The 16,784-nt window shown below is 51.4% G+C and overlaps 1 protein-coding gene and 1 pseudogene across 48 annotated transcripts, besides 3 other annotated features; one reads left to right on the top strand and one right to left on the bottom strand.

The window, feature by feature from the left end:
• Positions 31-360: a silencer, noted in NCBI's record as "silent region_14051". NCBI's record gives its function as "represses an Ori minimal core promoter by ATAC-STARR-seq in GM12878 lymphoblastoid cells {active_cell/tissue: GM12878}" and the evidence as "EXISTENCE:reporter gene assay evidence [ECO:0000049][PMID:35858748]".
• On the bottom strand, positions 185-16,708 carry IL17RC (interleukin 17 receptor C). 48 transcript variants are annotated; one of them, XM_017007326.1, is made up of 19 exons: positions 16,173-16,708; positions 16,072-16,093; positions 15,731-15,883; positions 15,397-15,471; positions 15,197-15,306; positions 13,204-13,315; positions 12,837-12,881; positions 9,786-9,925; positions 9,515-9,574; positions 5,586-5,640; positions 5,320-5,501; positions 5,176-5,226; positions 3,909-3,957; positions 3,657-3,778; positions 3,347-3,406; positions 2,863-2,911; positions 1,103-1,198; positions 948-986; positions 185-853 (listed from the first exon to the last, which is right to left on the bottom strand). In XM_017007326.1, the coding sequence occupies exons 1-19, from the start codon at positions 16,488-16,490 to the stop codon at positions 213-215; spliced, it is 2,379 nt and encodes a 792-aa protein (XP_016862815.1). In that variant the 5' UTR covers positions 16,491-16,708; the 3' UTR covers positions 185-212. The 48 variants fall into 48 exon arrangements, 47 of the variants coding, with proteins under 47 accessions (XP_016862815.1, NP_703191.2, XP_016862817.1 ...); NM_153461.4 differs by having other exon boundaries at positions 3,909-3,954; XM_017007328.1 differs by having other exon boundaries at positions 9,825-9,925.
• Positions 941-1,000: a silencer, noted in NCBI's record as "silent region_14050". NCBI's record gives its function as "represses an Ori minimal core promoter by ATAC-STARR-seq in GM12878 lymphoblastoid cells {active_cell/tissue: GM12878}" and the evidence as "EXISTENCE:reporter gene assay evidence [ECO:0000049][PMID:35858748]".
• Positions 4,944-5,443: an enhancer, noted in NCBI's record as "H3K4me1 hESC enhancer chr3:9970047-9970546 (GRCh37/hg19 assembly coordinates)". NCBI's record gives its function as "activates a minimal SCP1, AML or CMV promoter by ChIP-STARR-seq in primed H9 embryonic stem cells {active_cell/tissue: H9 hESC(primed)}" and the evidence as "EXISTENCE:reporter gene assay evidence [ECO:0000049][PMID:30033119]".
• On the top strand, positions 14,653-14,755 carry RNU6-882P (RNA, U6 small nuclear 882, pseudogene; annotated as a pseudogene).

The raw sequence follows: 16,784 nt of genomic DNA, 5'->3' as shown, positions 1-16,784 counted from the left end.
CGCAGTCCAGGGGGCGGAGCTTGCCGCCCAGCCAATGGCGACGGGCCATGTGCCATTACGTCACCCCACGCCAGCCAACCAGAGGCGGCACCGAGCTGCACCTGTCCGGGCTTTAAAGGGCCGCGGGGCTAGGGAATGACGTTTGCCAGCCCCGCCACTGAAACGGAGACGCGTGTGGGCCACATGGGTAGAAAAACAGCGTCTGCCTTTATTTAAGTCCCGTCCCCCGCCCCAGGTCCCGCGCCTGGTCCCACCCCGCGTCCCGGCGCGGGAGTCCCCGGGGGATGGAAGTAGCTATCCAGGGCTGGCTGAAGGGCCCGGGACACTTGCTCCGCTCTCTCTTGGAGCCGCCCGGAACGCGGGGCGCGAGGCTGCTGCAGGGCCCCCAGGAAGTCTGGCAGTTGGGAGGGCAGTGTGAAGACGGGCACGGTGCGGAAAAGGGCGGGTACGGCGTCCGGGTGGAGCAGCCTGTCGAAGCAGGCCCCCACGTAGCTGCCGGGCGCCCGGCCCTGCAAGAAGTCGGGCAGCACGCAGCTGAGCGAGGCGCGGAAGGCGTCGTGCGGGCCGTGCGCCCCGGGCCCGGACACCCCATCCTGTAGCCACTCGCTGCACAGCGCCACCGCACCGGGAGAGAAGAGCAAGACCACCACGCCGCCCTCCTGCAGGGTCTGGCGCCGCTGCGCGTGAAACCAAGCCACGGGCCCCTGCGCGCTCAGTTCACGACGGCTCCACAGGTCTACGGCCACGCGCAGCGGCAGCTGGCACAGGGCCGACGCCAGGGCGCCCACCAGGCGCTCGAAACCCGAGTCATCGGCTGAGTAGAGGAGCAGAGCCGCGCGGCCCCTGGCGGCCGCTGCCGGAGAAAACAGATGGGGAGGGAAGAGGTGAGCTGGCACAGGCCTGGCTCCCCGGGGGCGGCCCTCCGCCCAGCGCTTGCTCCCACTCACCCCCCGAGCGGACGTCCTGTTTCAAGAGCCTCAGCCACCCTGTTAGGGGAGAGGGGCGGAGGCAGCCAGTGAGCTCGGCCGCCGCTTTCCCTCGGAGAACTCCCACAGCCACTCTGGTCCTCCCCCAGGGGAATGGGGAGCCGGGAAGCGCTCACCTTTCGCGTGATCCTTTTTGAGAAGGAGGATGAGGGAAAGCGCAGCGGCAAAGAGTAGGCAGGCCAGCCACACGAGGGCCCAGCGCTTGTGGATGTCTGGGAGACCCAGAGAAGAAGAGTTAGAAACTTACCCTCCACAGAGAAGAAAAACTGAGACTTAACAGAAATGAATTGGGCCGGGTGCGGTGGCTCATGCCTTTATATAATCCCAGCACTTCGGGAGGCCGAGGCGGGCAGATCACGAGGTCAGGACATCAAGACCATCCTGGCTAACACGGTGAAACCCCGTCTCTACTAAAAATACAAAAAATTAGCCGGGCGTGGTGGCACACGCCTGTAATCCCAGCTACTCGGGAGGCTGAGGCAAGAGAATCGCTTGAACTCGGGAGGCAGAGGTTGCAGTGAGCCGAGATCGCGCCATTGCACTCCAGCCTGGGCGACAGGGTGAGACTCCTCTCAAAACAAAACAAAACAAAACAAAAAACGAAGAAATGATTTGCCCAGAGTCCACAGCACAGTGTCAGAGCCAGTGGATGAATATAGCTCCATCTGTTTAGGGGTCTTTGAATAAGTAATGTCACCCTCTGCCTCAGTTTTCTCCTCTGTAAAGTTGTACCTGTGTCATAGGGTTGGTGTGAGGACTAAATATATTAATACATATAAAGCTTAACACAATGTGTTAATACATACTTAACACAATGCCGAGCATCTTAAGTGCTAAAATGTCAGCTGTTTTTCTCCCCTAAGCTAGGGTTGCTGGGCCCTTGATCTTGCTGTCCTGGGTGTCTGCAACTACCTGGTGTCCCTGCCCTGTCTTTTTTTTTTTTTTTTTACCTCCAATTGATTTGCCTTGAATTGATTCATGACAGCCTCAGAGATCTTTTAAAAATATAAATTTGGGCCAGGTGCGGTGACTCACGACTATAATCCCAGCACTTTGGGAGGCCGACGCGGGCGGATCACGAGGTCAGGAGTTCAAGACCAGCCTGGCCAAGATGGTGAAACCCCATCTCTACTAAAAATACAAAAATTAGCAGGGCATGGTGGCAGGCGCCTATTAATCCCAGCTACCCGGGAGGCTGAGGTAGAGAATTGCTTGAACCCGGGAGGCAGAGGTTGCAGTTAGCCGAGATCGCGCCATTGCACTCCAGCCTGGGCAACAGAGTGAGACTCTGCCTCAAAAATAAATAAAAAAATAAGTATATATATATATATATATATATATATATATATGTGTGTGTGTGTGTGTGAAATATATAAAAATTTGATCGTAGCTCCTGCTGCTCTCAACATAAGATCCAAATCCCCTACATGTCTCCTGCATCTTTATCTCATGACAGAAACCTGCCTGTCCAAGACCCTGTATCTCTACCCCCTTCCCCTAGCTCAGTCTTCAGAGTTTTGCTGGAACCTTCCCCCTGAGCCCCTCACCCCTCACCCCACCCAGGTCAGGTCCACATTGTATGCATTTACAGCACTGAACACTTGGTGGTGCTTCAGTAGCTCCCACTTTAAATGTAAGTGACTGGCTCATGTCTTGCTAGTCTTCTAGGGGTGGGGCGGGGGCAAGGATTTATATTTTTGGTGTTCCTGCGATCCCTGCAAGCTCTCATCATTTTTTGAGTGAATGAAGGAATGACCCTCTGTTTATCTGATCTCAGGGAAGGACAAGGCCATTGCATGTGCTGTGCCCAAGAGTGGTCCCTGTCAAGATCCCCACTCCTGGTACAGAAAGGAAAGGCAGTTCTTACAATACTCACATTTGTCCATGGGGCAGGCCCATAGCGCTCCCAAGTCATCGTCCCATAGCTGTAAGATACAAACAGAACCAAATCCAGGGCACCAGCCAGGTGTTCCAATATTCACCAAGCTCTGGTGGCCTGATCTCCAAATTCCCAGCATCAACTATGCATATCTCCCGGCTAAGGTTCCTGCAGCTGCTCTGCCTTTGTGCTGTGCCCACTGACTAGGGTATGACTTCTTCCATACCAAATCTGGCTTATAGGAAGAAATTCTTCCCGGAAGCTCTCCCTGGAACCCAAAACTTAGCACCTGTAGGTGTGGTTATCTGTTTATGGGTGTCTAGCCAACAGTGTGCTCCTTGGGGATAGGAACTGTGCTTCTTCTACTCTTAACTTTCCCAGGGCTGAACATAAAATAAGCCTAAATAGACAGTAGGTGAGTGCTAGTTTTAGGCCTGTTGCCCCTAGGCATTGAGGTGGGGCCCTTCTTCCACCAGCTCACCTGCAGACACTGGCCTGACTGCAGGTCTTGTAGTAAGTACTCTCCAAGGCGAGCTGCCCTCTGCCAAGCCAAAGGATGGGGGCACTGTTACCTGGAGGTAGCACCCTTAGGGCAGCACCTACCAGGCTACAGCTGGGTAGAATGAGGTAGAGGGGACTGGGAGACTTTGGTGATGCCGCTGAATATGGCCCTGGTCTGAGTCACCCCCCATGTTCCCAGAGACCGGCACAGGGTGGATGGAGTGAAAATTTGAGGCCAGATGTGAGATGCATTTGGAGAGATCTGTGGAGGAGGGTCGCCCAGTCCTAACCGTGGAGGCTTTGCTGGGTAGTGAAGTACAGCCACTGGGTTCCAAGGCACAGAGGGATCTGTTGTCCTGGGGGCCTCGTGTCTCCAACAGTAGCACATCGTCTTTGAGAGGCCCCAGGGAGTCTGGAAGGGGTGAGAGGCCACTCTGACCAAGACCCATCCTTGCTGGGATTGGCCACTTGCCTGCCTCCCATGCCCTGACCTTCACCCCTAGGAGGTGGCCCTGCCCCAGCTGCCCCCAGGCCCAACTCACCAGCCCACAAGCACTCCTGCAGCTGCAGCTTCTCCGAGCTGTTCACCTGCTGGGAAGAGACCATGGTTAGGGCCACTAAGAAAAGCAAAAGCCAAAGGCAGAAAGACCAGAATGGGGCAGGCAACAGAAGGCCTGTTGGGTTGGGAATCTGCACTCAATCTGACCTGAGGCAGATGTGGATTCAAGGCTGGGTGATTAGGAATCACTACATCTTTCTCTGCCCCAGCCTTGTGAGATCATCTGTATAAAGCGTCTTCTGACCCTAAAGCTGTTTTTATGTCTTACGGAGCATGGTTCCCCTCTCATCTAACCTTCTCAAAGAGATTCCTTTCTCACATGACCACCCTGCTAAAAATTGCAACCCCAGTCCCACCTTATCCCTTTCCCATGGTATTTGTATGCAATTTTAAGATACTATATGATTTATTTACAATGTCTGTTGCCTGCCTTTCTCCATTACAATATAAGTTCTATGAGGGTAGAGATGTTAGGGTCTATCACAAGTGCCTAAAACAGTGACTTGTGCTGCTCAAAAAATCTTGAATGAGTGAATTTTTTTTTTTTTTGAGACGGAGTTTCACTCTGTCGCCCAGTCTCACTCTGTCACCCAGGCTGGAGTGCAGTGGCGCCCTCTCAGCTCACTGCAAGCTCAGCCTCCCAGGTTCACGCCATTCTCCTGCCCCAGCCTTCCTAGTAGCTGGGACTACAGGTGCCCACCACCACGACCGGCTAATTTTTTGTATTTTTAGTAGAGATGGGGTTTCACCATGTTAGCCAGGATGGTCTTGATGTCCTGACCTCGTGATCTGCCCGCCTCGGCCTCCCAAAGTGCTGGGATTACAGGCGTGAGCCACCGCGCCTGGCCGGATGAGTGAATGTTCTTATAATCACCCTTTGAAACTGTAGAGCAACCCATTCTACAGGTATGGAAATAGAATAAGGATAGCAATAATAAAAGTGGCTACATTTATGGAGCATTTAGTCTGTACCGATTCCTAAGGGGAAGCACTTCTCTTATTTCATTGTCACAACCACTCCATGAGGTAGTTACTGTATTATCATCTGCATTAAACAGATGAGGAAACTGACGTTCAGAGAGGTGAAGTGAGTTGCCCAGGGTCCCGCGCACTACTAAAGTAGGCAGTGGAACTCCCATAGAGGAAGCTGGCAACCACTATGCTTTAGCGGCCCAAGAACTAAGACCCCCTTGGCTGGGGGGTCTGCCCAGGTCCAGCCTCCAGCCCAGCACTATGCACCCCTTTCTGACCTGAACACAGAGGTTAGGGTGGCCTTTCAGCAATGGGAACTCGAGAACCTTCTGTGGAAAGAGAGGAATGGGTGGGATCACAAAAGGGGACCCCCGGTTCCCCACTCTCCCCTCACCACGGGAGGTGCCCTCTGCTTCACTTACGTCCACAGTGACGTTCTCCCAGGAAAGCGGTGGGACCAGTGGCTGGCAGGGGTCCCCACCCGGAGCCCGCCAGCACAGTGCCGCTTCTGCGGGCAGCGAGCACGGTGCGTCCAGCAGCCAGCTCTGCAGGGTCAGCAGTTGCAGTCGGGCGGCTTGCCAGAGGTTCTGGTGTGCGCGGGGGTCTGCAAGGAAAGGGCACAGTCACCGCAGGCCAGGTACCCATCGCTCGCAACACCCCAACCCCAGCCCCAGGCCGGTCGGCTCACCCTCCCTGAAGGGGCAGATGTTCGTCCTAACGGAGTCAGGTTCCAGAGGCCACACCTGGAAAGGAAATGGGGGTCTGCTCAGGTCCCCTCCATGGGCATGTGCCTGGCCCTCTGCTGGACAGTGGGGATGCACTCATTCAGCAGGTATTTCACAAACACTTGCTGGGTCTTCCTGCCTTTTACAAAACCTGGAGGTGCTCACATCTATTCTTCCAGCAAACATAATGCTGGGCACTGGCAACATCTTCATTAACAAACTTTTTTTTTTTTTTGAGATAGAGTCTCGCTCTGTCGCCCAGGCTGGAGTGCAGTGGTGCAATCTTGGCTCACTACAACCTCCACCTCCCAGGTTCAAGCGATTCTCCCATCTCAGTCTCCTGAGGAGCTGCGATTACAGGAACATGCCACAACGGCCGGCTAACTGGTTAATTTTTGTATTTTTAGTAGAGATGGGGTTTCACCACATTGATCAGGCTGGTCTCGAACTCCTGACCTCAAGTGATCCACCCGTCTCAGCCTCCCAAAGTGTTGGGATTACAAGCGTGAGCCACCGCGCCTGGCCCATTCAACAGACTTTTAATGAGTGCCTACCATTGTGTCTTAGCAGTATGGCAAGCACAAGAGACCTTGGATAATTAAATTTTTATTATTTTTTTATTTTTTGAGATGGAATCTCACTCTGTTGCCCAGGCTGGAGTGCAGTGGTGTGATCTCAGCTCACCACAACCTCCGCCTCCTGGGTTCAAGTGATTCTCCTGCCTCAGCTTCCCAAGTAGCAGGGACTACAGGCGCACATCACCATGCCTGGCTAATTTTTGTACTTTTAGTAGAGACTGGGTTTCACTATGTTAGGCCAGGCTGGTCTCAAACTCCTGACCTCGTGATCCACCCACCTTGGCCTCCCAAAGTGCTGGGATTACAGGTGTGAGCCACTGTGCCTGGTGGATAATTAATTTTAATTCATTCCACAATCACTTGTGTAAGCACCTGCTATGTGTTGGGGAATGTGCTAAGTTCTAAGGACACATTCATTTATTCTTTCAACAGACATTTCAAGAGTGCCTATTATGTGCATAGCTCTATGCTAAGCACTAGAGGTAATACATTAATTTATCCATCAAGCCTTTAGTTAGGAACACCGACTATGTGGCAGGCACTGTGTTTGGCAATGAAGCCATTTAAATCACAGCATACATCTCATGAACATCTGCTGTGTCCTATGGCTGTGTTAGGCAGTAACATTTATTCACTCATTCAACAGTGAGGACCTCATACTGTTACCTTGTTTAAAAACAAAACAAGGCTGGGCGCGGTGGCTCACCCCTGTAATCCCAGCACTTTGGGAGGCCAAGGTGGGCGGATCACGAGGTCAAGAGATCGAGACCATCTGGCCAACATGCTGAAACCCCGTCTCTACTGAAAATACAAAAATTAGCCGGGCATGGTGGCATGCACTTGTAGTCCCAGCTACTTGGGAGGCTGAGGCAGAAGAATTGCTTGAATCCAGGAGGCAGAGATTGCAGTGAGCCGAGATCACGCCACTGTACTCCAGCCTGCCAATAGAGCGAGACTCTGTCTCAAAAAAGACAAAAAAACAAAAAAAAAACAAAAACACAAAAAAACAAAAAACAAGTAGGCGCTATGTGCAAGGCTCTTGCAAAGCTATTACATTTGAATTAGATATGATTTGCTTGCCTTCAAGGAAATCACAAACTCACACTTGTAGTAAGGATAAAATATTTATATAAATTAGTAAAACACTCATTCATTTCATAATATTTATTGAGCATCTGTTGTGTACAAGAAGAAATTAGATGCCCAAATAAGAAAGTAAGTGATTGAGCTGGGTGTGGTGGCCCATCGCCACAAAACATTAAAAAATGAAAACAGGCTGGGCACAGTGGCTCACGCCTGTAATCCCAGCACTTTGGGCGGCCGAGGCGGGTGGATCACGAGGTCAGGAATTTGGGACCAGCCTGACCAACATGGTGAAACCCTGTCTCTACTAAAAATACAAAAATTAGCTGGGCATGGTGGTGTGTGCCTGTAATCTCAGCTACTTGGGAGGCTGAGGCAGGAGAATGGCTTGAACCTGGGAGGCGGAAGTTGCAGTGAGCCGAGATCACGCCACTGCACTCCATCCTGGGCAAAAGAGTGAAACTCCATTAAAAAAAAAAAAAAAAAAAAAAGGAAACAATTAGCCAGGCATGGTGGCGCATGCCTGCAGTCCCAGCTGCAGAGGCTGAGGCAGGAGGATCCCTTGAACCTGGGAGCTTGGGGCTGCAATGAGACGTGTTCATGCCACTGCACTCTACCATGGGTGACAGAGCAAAATGCTGTCTCTAAAAAAAAAAAAAAAATTTAAGAAAATAAAAGAAATGAAGTGATAAATGGACAAGGAAAGATAGAAGTGCAAGGGGATTTGGAGCTAGGAGAGGCCGGGTGGTTGGGGAAAAGCTTTGGGAAGGAGGTGAGGGCATTTGAGGTAATGGGAACCACCTGAGAAAAGGCAGGGAGCTAGCTGTATCTTGGTAAGTAGCTCCACTGGATGTAACAATGTTCTCATGAAGGGGAATCATGGGGAAAATAGAGTGAAAAGGCACCGTTGGGGGCAGAATATGGGCCCAGAATGCCAGGAAAGTGATGGGAAGGGAGGGGAGCTTGGAGGTGTTGAAACAGTCTAGAAAACAGATGATAGAGCCCTAAGCTGGACTGAGATGGAGAGGAGGGGGAAAGAAAATGAGAGACATTAATGTCAGAGGTAAGATGGATGAGACCTGATGACCAATTAAATGTGCAATCAGCGGCTGGGCACAGTGGGTCATGCCTGTAATCCCAGCACTTTGGGAGGACGAGGCTTGTGGATCATAAGGTCAGGAGATCGAGACCATCCTGGCTAACACGGTGAAACCCTGTCTTTACTGAAAATACAAAAAATTAGCTGGGCGTGGTTGCAGGCACCTGTAGTCCCAGCTACTCAGCGAGGCTGAGGCAGGAGAATGGCGTGAACCCAGGAGAAGCAGCTTGCAGTGAGCCGAGATCACGCCACGGTGCTCCAGCCTGGGCGACAGAGAAAGACTCTGTCTTAAAAAAAAAAAAAAAAAAAGTGCAATCAGGGCAAGCCACAGTGGCTCATGCTTATAATCCCAGCACTTGGTGGGAGGCTGAGGTGGGAGGATAGCATAAGCCCAGGAATTCAGAACAGCCTGGGTAACATAGCAAGACCCCGTCTCTACACAAAACAAAAAAAAACTAGCTGAGTATGGTAGTGCTCACCAGTAGTTCCAGCTACTTGGGAGGCTGAGACAGGAGGATCACTTGAGCCCATGGGGCTGAGGCTGCAGTGTGCCATGATTGTGCCACTGCACTCCAGCCTGGGCAACAGAGTGAGACCTTGTCTAAAAAAATAAATAAATGTACAGAGGAAGAGGAAAGAGCCAGCATATTTAAGCCTGGGTGTGGCACACATTCTTATAACAGCCCCATGAGGCTGTTACTATTATTATTCCCATTTTACAGATGAGAAACAGGCTCACAGAGGTGAAGTGACTTGCCCAAGGTTACACAGCTAGCAAATGGCAAGAGCCAAGATTCAAACCAGTCCAAGTTCGTAGCACATGCTCTGCCCGCCAGGGGAACACAAAGACAGAACTGGAGGAGTAGGGAAAGGTTTCAAGGAGAAGGTGACATTTGAATGGGGCCATGAAGAATAAGCAGGAGTTCTGTGGAGGATCAGGGAGAGCATTCAGGGAATGTAATAGACAGAAGGCATAGGACAGCAAGGGTCAAGGGAGGGCCAGCCACCCCAGGGAGCCACAGTCTCCACCTCAATGAAGGGTTTGAAGAATGGTGAGACCAGGAAGGCAGGGATCACCCCCATCATCATCTTCCCACTCCTCTTCTGGCACCCAGCTAGACTCTGCTCCTACCTGAATACAGAGGCAGGGAACCAGGTCTGTGTGGTTCAAGGTAATGATCTGCGGTCCAGTCTGTGGAACAAATAAAGGAAGGAGGTTGGAGAAGATAAGGAGGAAGAGGAGGAGGCCAAAGTCAAGGAAACCAGGAAGGCAGAAGTTCCCCCACCAATTTTCCCTTGCTTGGGGTGAGTCCTCTTCAAGGATCCTCTCTGATATGGCACTGCGTCCTTTGCACAGGCATCGGCCTACAGTGGGAATGGACTTGGGAAGGGGGAGGCCTCACCAGGTTTTTGTGCCACCGGGGTTTTGGGGGGCCCTGGACCTGATTCCAGTACAGGGAGAGGCCGAAGTGCTGCTCCTCAGAGACATTCAGAACCAGATGCACGTTGTCACCATCTGCTGACACGTTGAGCCAGGGCAGGGCTGGTGGGAGAGGCAAAGAGAGCGCAGCTTAGACTTCCTCACCTCTTCTGCATCCCCGACTGACCCTTTGGAGTTTCCTTCAAACCCCCTAGACTGGGAGGCTCTCGGAGGGCAGAGCGTGTGTCATCATTTCAGACCAGACTTTGCTCCTAGCAGCTGCCCAAAGCCAAGCCCGTGGAGACCCTAGTGTGTGGTCGGAGAAGAGCTATTCTCCCTGCTTCTCCCTCTGCAGAAAGATCTTGTAACCTCTTTAAAACAAGTCATTTTCCTCTGTTCAGAACTGTGACCTTTCTGACCTTACCTCTTGATACTTGTGTCCTTTTTTTTTTTTGAGAGGGAGTCTTGCTCTGTTGCCCAGGCTGGAGTGCATTGGCACGATAGCTCACTGCAACCTCCACCTCCTGGGTTCAAGCGATTCTCTTGCCTCAGCCACCCGAGTAGCTGGGATTACAGGCGTGTGTCACCACCCCCGGCTAGTTTTTGTATTTTTAGTAGAGATGGGATTTCGCTCATGTTGGCCAGGCTGGTCTTGAGCTCCTAACCTCAAGCAATCCTCCTGCCTCAGCTTCCCCAAAGTGCTGGGATTGCAGACGTGAGCCATCGCGCACAGCCTATGGCATTTGTGTCCTTAATAACTCTGCTGCAGAGTTATTAAGGACCTCCTTACTGTTTCTCTCTCTTTTTTTTTTCCTTTTTTTTTTTTTGAGATGGAGTCTGGCTCTGTCGCCCAGGCTGGAGTGCAGTGGTGTGATCTCGGCTCACTGCAAGCTCTGCCTCCTGGGGTTCAAGCCATTCTCCTGCCTCAGGCTCCCGAGTAGCTGGGACTACAGGCGCCTGCCACCATGCCCAGCTGATTTTTTTGTATTTTTTGTAGAGATGGGGTTTCACCGTGTTAGCCAGGATGGTCTCGATCTCCTGACCTCGTGATCCGCCAGCCTCGGCCTCCCAAAGTGCTGGGATTACAGGCGTGAGCCACCGCGCCCGGCCCCCTCCTTACTATTTCTTAAACACCCCTGACATACTCCCACCCCAGGCCCTTTTTGCTGGCTATTCTCTCTTCCCTCAAATATATGGCTCCTCCCTCACCTCTTTCAGGTCTCTGCTCACCAGAATGAGACCATCCCTGACCTCTACAACTCCCAACCTTCCCCAGCCCTTCCACAAATGTTCTCCTTAGTGCTAATCACTGTCTAACTTACTGCATTCTTCACATCTCCATGTGTTTGTTGTGTCCTTCCTCACCCCCACCCTGACCCTGACACCAGCTCCGTGGGGTCGGGTTTTTTGTCATCTTCATTTATTGATTTATTAATATTTCCAGTGTCCAGGGATTTGCCTGGTACACAGAAATTAATAAATATCTGTTGAATAAATGAATCAATGTCTACTTAATGAAGGAAGAAATGAAATCCATGATATACACATCTGTGTTTTCAAAACTCTGGTGTTGAATAGTCTTTAATGAGTTGCCAAAGAGGCAGGCCAACTTTAATTTTAAGAAGGCAAAAAGAAAATGAAGTTGAAAACATTTAGTAGTTCAGAAAACATCACAGTATGTGATGTATTCACAGTATTTATGTATTGATCTGGGTGCTAGTTATGCAAGTGTATACATATATAAAAACAAATTGGCCGGACGTGGCGGCTCATGCCTGTAATCCCAGCACTTTGGGAGGCCGAGGTGGGAGGATCACGAGGTCAGGAGTTCAAGACCAGCCTGGCCAGCATGGTGAAACTCCATGTCTACTAAAAATACAAAAATTAGCTGTGCGTGGTGGTGCACGTCTGTAATCCCAGCTGCTTGGGAGGCTGAGGCAGGAGAATCGCTTGAACCCAGAAGGCAGAGGTTGCAGTGAGCTGAGATCACACCACTGCAGTCCAGCCTAGGCGACAGAGCAAGATTCCGCCAAAAAAAAAAAAAAAAAAAAGAACTGGACATGGAAATCAGTACCCTTTGGCTGGGCGTGGTGGCTCACGCCTGTAATCCCAGCACTTTGGGAGGCTGAGGCAGGCGGATCACAAGGTCAGGAGATCAAGACCATCCTGGCTAACACGGTGAAACCCTGTCTCTACTAAAAAAAAAAAAAAATTAGCCAGGCGTGGTGGCGGGTGCCTGTAGTCCCAGCTACTCGGGAGGCTGAGGCAGGAGAATGGCGTGAACCTGGGAGGCGGAGCTTGCAGTGAGCCGAGATTGCACCACTGCACTCCAGCCTGAGCGACAGAGCGAGACTCTGTCTCAAAAAAAAAAAAAAAAAAGAAAATCAGTACCCTTTACATACTTTTATGTATGTATGTTATACACAATAAAAAAGAAAATACAAAACGAAAACAAAATCCAAATAGTACGTGGGAAAAAAGTTAGACCCTTGACTTTCTTAGCTTTTATTTCAAGTTTTTTGTTTTTGTTTTGTTTTGTTTTGTTTTTTGAGACGGAGTCTTGCTCTGTCACCCAGGCTGGTGTGCAATGGTGCAGTCTCAGCTTACTGTAGCCCCTGCCTCCCAGGCTCAAGTGATTCTCCTGCCTCAGCCTCCTGAGTAGCTGGGACCACAAATGCACACCACCATGTCCTGTTAATTTTTGTATTTTTGGTAGAGACGGGGATTTGCCATGTTGCCCAGGCTCGTCTTGAACTTTTGAGCTCAAGTGATCCTTCTACCTCGGCCTCCCAAAGTTCTGGGATTACAGGCATGAGCCACTGAGCCTGACCCAAGATTCATCTTTCTATTTCCAGTGCTTAGCACAGATACTGCAATTAATGTGTTATGAACAAATGAATGAATGAATGAATGAATGAATATGTTCTGTGAGCTTCTGAGATGTGGTAGCCCATATCTGAAGTGGACTCCAAGGGTTTCTTATACTCCAGACCCTGCCCCTCCCTACCCCCGGCCCACTGGCCCTAGCCCCTACCCCAGCAGCTCGGGATGCTGTTCCAGACTTCGAGCCCCCTGCAGTCTGAGGAGAGATCACAGAAGAGCCTCCAGTGGGGCTGGGGGCCAAGGAAAGAAGTGGGGGCAATTTGGCTCCCAGGGGGGCATTAGGAATGGCTCCCCATCCCCTACATACCACCCACATCTATCCAATGCTCAAAGAACCTTCCCCAGGGGCTGGAAAGCCATATCACCCAGAGAGAGAAGGTCCGAGGGACTGACTCTGGGGAGGATAGCAGCTCAGACCCCTGCCGGAGAGTGGATGGAGCTAGAAGAGGGTGAAATCAGGAGGGGGAATGGCCAGAGGGGACAGAGGCTAGGGGGCCAGGACTTGGGGGTCCACTTACCAGGCAGCTGCTGTGTGTGGTTGAGTTCCTTCTCGTACCTGGGCTGAGTATAGGACCAGATTCGTACCTCACTCCCTAGGGCAGCCTCGAAGCAGTCATATACCACAGAGCCCTGTGAGGAGAGGGGTGAGGAAGGCTGGCGGTGCAGGGCTCAGAATCCAGGCCAAGGGCTGTGGGATCATCTGCAGGGACCACTCTGCTCACTGCCCTCCTCCCCCAACTAATGACTGTATTTATACTGTATAGCCTGAAATCTACTATTCACCTTTCTTTCAAGGGGCCTCAATTCTAAAGCAAATGTCCTCAGTAAGAGTGTCACCAGGGCGGGAAAAGGCCCTAGACATTTAAATCCCTGCACCCACCCTGCTGTGCTAGATCACCTGGCCAAAGCTAAGGAGATGAGACACCCCAACACAATATGGCACACCCCTCCCCACAGAAGTGGTTCTCACACTCAACCCAGTGCCTCAGTGTTCCTTACAACTGCTTGTGACATGGACCAAGCAGATGTTCTCCCAGTCTACAATTCTCCAGATAGGATATTGGCTGGGGGCTGGAGGTTGGAGGGAAAGTCAAAGGGTTTGAGTGATTTGACCCCAGTGGAAATAGACCTTCCAGGTACATGTGGCCTCCTAAGGCAGGGAGAAGCCCCAACACCCTGCACCATGGTACTTACACCATGGTAAGTATACCATGGTATGTATGGTAGGACTCTTTCTTTGGTCCAAGAGTACAGAGAAGTGCATCCAGCCCACAGACCTCCCCTCTCCAAGCCTCATTTTATCTATCTGGAAAATGAGGATACTAATAATGCCTCATCAGGTAGTTTTGAGGATTACAAAAGAATTAAATTTATTGAAATTATTCAGTGCCAGGCATTACATCCAGTGTTTTACAGGTACCAACTTAATTTAATTCTCACAACAGTCATGTGAGGTGGGACTATTCTTTTTTTTTGAGACGGAATCTCGCTCTGTCGCCCAGGCTGGAGTGCAGTGGCGCGATCTCGGCTCACTGCAAGCTCCACCTCCCGGGTTCACGCCATTCTCCTGCCTCTGCCTCCCGAGTAGCTGGGTCTACAGGCGCCCACCACCATGCCTGGCTAATTTTTTGTATTTTTTTAGTGGAGGCAGGGTTTCACAGTGTTAGCCAGGATGGTCTCAATCTCCTGACTTCGTGATCTGCCCGCCTCAGCCTCCCAAAGTGCTGGGATTACAGGTGTGAACCACTGTGCCCGGCCAGAACTATTGTTTTTTTATGTGGCAAAAACAAAAACAAAAACAAAAACAAAAAAACTTTAAGAGATATTTCACAAGGAAGTTACACAAATAGCCAATAAGCATGTGAAAAAAGTGCTCAACTTCATCAGTCATTGGAAGATACAAATTAAAACCACAATGGCAAACCACTACATATGCAGAAAAATTATGACAATTACAACACTTATGCTTGTTTTGGCACCACATATACTACAACTGGAACAATACAGAAAAGATTAGCAAGGCCCGTGCCTGAGGATGACATGCAAATTCATGGAGGGTCCCATATATTTAAAATTCAAATATATTTAATTTAAAAATAAAATAAAATTACACCATCAAGTGTTGGCAAAGATGGGAAGCAACTAGGACTCCCATACACTGCTGGTAGGAGGGGAAAATAGTAGAAGCACCCTGAAAAACGCTTGGTGATTTCTCGCAGTCAAGCATATGAAGTAGAACTATTCTCATCCCCATTTTACAGACATAAAAGCTGAGGCATAACAGGCTGAAGGGACTTGCCCACAGCGCTGATCAGAATCAAAAGAATAGTCCCACCTCACATGGCTGTTGTGAGAATTAAATAAGTTGATACCTGTAAAACACTGGCTGTAATGCCTGGTACTGAAGGGTTTCAATAAATTTAATTCTTTTGTAATCCTCAAAGAGATAATGCATGTGAAAAAGTTTTATAGATTTTAGGTTTAGAAGGTGATTATTATTATTTTGCATACCACAGACTGACCAAACTGCACAAGGGCAGCAGGCACTTGCACCTCCAGCAGGACGCAGCGGGCAGTAGGGTAGGCCTGGAAGGAGAGCACGACTTGGGCCTGGAGAGAGGCTGTGGGCAACAGGGCAGGGGTCAGTCAGGCCCAGGAGCGGCAGGCCAGGCCTTGGCATGGGGCAGTTGGGCCAGCCAGGTTCTCCTCACCATTCCTAGGCTCCTCCACCCCTGAGTCAGCTGCTCCTCCAAACTTTTCCTCATCTTCAGGCTCTTCCCAGTGCCCTAGAAGGACCCAAGAGCAAGGCCCTGGGTGAGGCCCCCTGCTCTGGGCTGGCTGGCTTTGGCGTTGGCTTCCTTCTGGAAAGCCCAGTGCTGGGAAGCAGGGGCTGGGGAGACCACACTGGCCTGGGGGTCCTTCTGCTGGTGTCCTCCAGGAGAACACTGAGGATGCCTAGCACTGCTTGAGAGATCCCCTGGCCCTCATGCCCACCCCAGACACACTCACGTGTACACATGCACTGTCACAGGATGACTTGCTCACCATGCACGGCCAAGTGGACAGCCACACGCAGACAGAGGTCACAGTCGGTCTCCTTCTGGCACCTCAGCACCAGCTCTGTCTGCAGGTGCGTAGGCGCCAGCACGGGGCCCGGAGCAGGCACGATGTCCCCAGGCAGGCAGAGTATGTCACTGTCTGTGTGTGGAGGAGCGGGTGGGAGCTGAAGCTGTTCCAAGCCCAGAATTTGGTGGCACCTGACATACCCAGAGAGCCAAAGAACTTGGCTGTCCTAGGCTGAGGTGGGCATGGAGGGCATGGGCCTGGGACAGCTCTGCTCCCTTCGGCCAACCTGGGAAATTCTTTTTAAAAGTAGGGATACTTACCCCAGAGGCGGCAGGAGAGGCCCTGGGAAGGAAAGAAAGGAGAGTCAGAATTTGTGCCCCCACCATCTAGGCACTGTTCTCTGCCTAAGACCTCCACCTACCTTTTTCTGGGGCTCCGTATTCCCAGACCCTCCCAGAGAAAGACAGACCCAGCTCTTGCCCCTTCCCCGTTCTTCTCTTCTACCATCAGCACCAGACAGACCAGACAGGGCAGTTCTGGCAGTGGCAGCAGTGACAGGAGCCAGGCTAAGGCTTTGCTGAGCCAAAAACTGAACCCTGAGCCTTTCCTCGTCTCCCCAGGGTTCCAGACTCACCGGAGAGCAGTGGGTAGCGTCCTGAGGCCCCACAAGCCTCTCCAGAGAAAGGACCACTGGGCTTCGGCCCAGTGCCAAGGACAGCAAGAACCAGGGCACAGGCATCTTCTAGGTGCCAGGTGGCACCCAGGCCTGAGGCCCTGTGCTGCCCCCCCCCAAGGGGGGCAGACACCCCAGTCAGCCCGTGTCTGTGGGTGGCAGGGGCTGGAATCCCTCTTCAGCCTCCAGAGGGGGCGGAGGGGGCTGTGCTGGGTAGTTTGTGCACTCTCTGTCCTGGGAGTCCTGACTCTCCTCCTACTTCCAGCACGGAGTGCTTTCGTTTTGGCTCCCGGCAGGCTGCTGGCTGTTCCCGCCCCTCTCTGTCCCTCCCACCAACACCAGGCTTGGGAGCCAGCAGCC

The sequence above is a fragment of the Homo sapiens genome, chromosome 3, assembly GCF_000001405.40.
Source record: "Homo sapiens chromosome 3, GRCh38.p14 Primary Assembly".
In the NCBI taxonomy this organism is placed as follows: Eukaryota; Metazoa; Chordata; class Mammalia; order Primates; family Hominidae; genus Homo; species Homo sapiens.
Note: the sequence above shows the minus strand (reverse complement) of the source record. Positions and strands in the feature narration are given on the sequence as shown.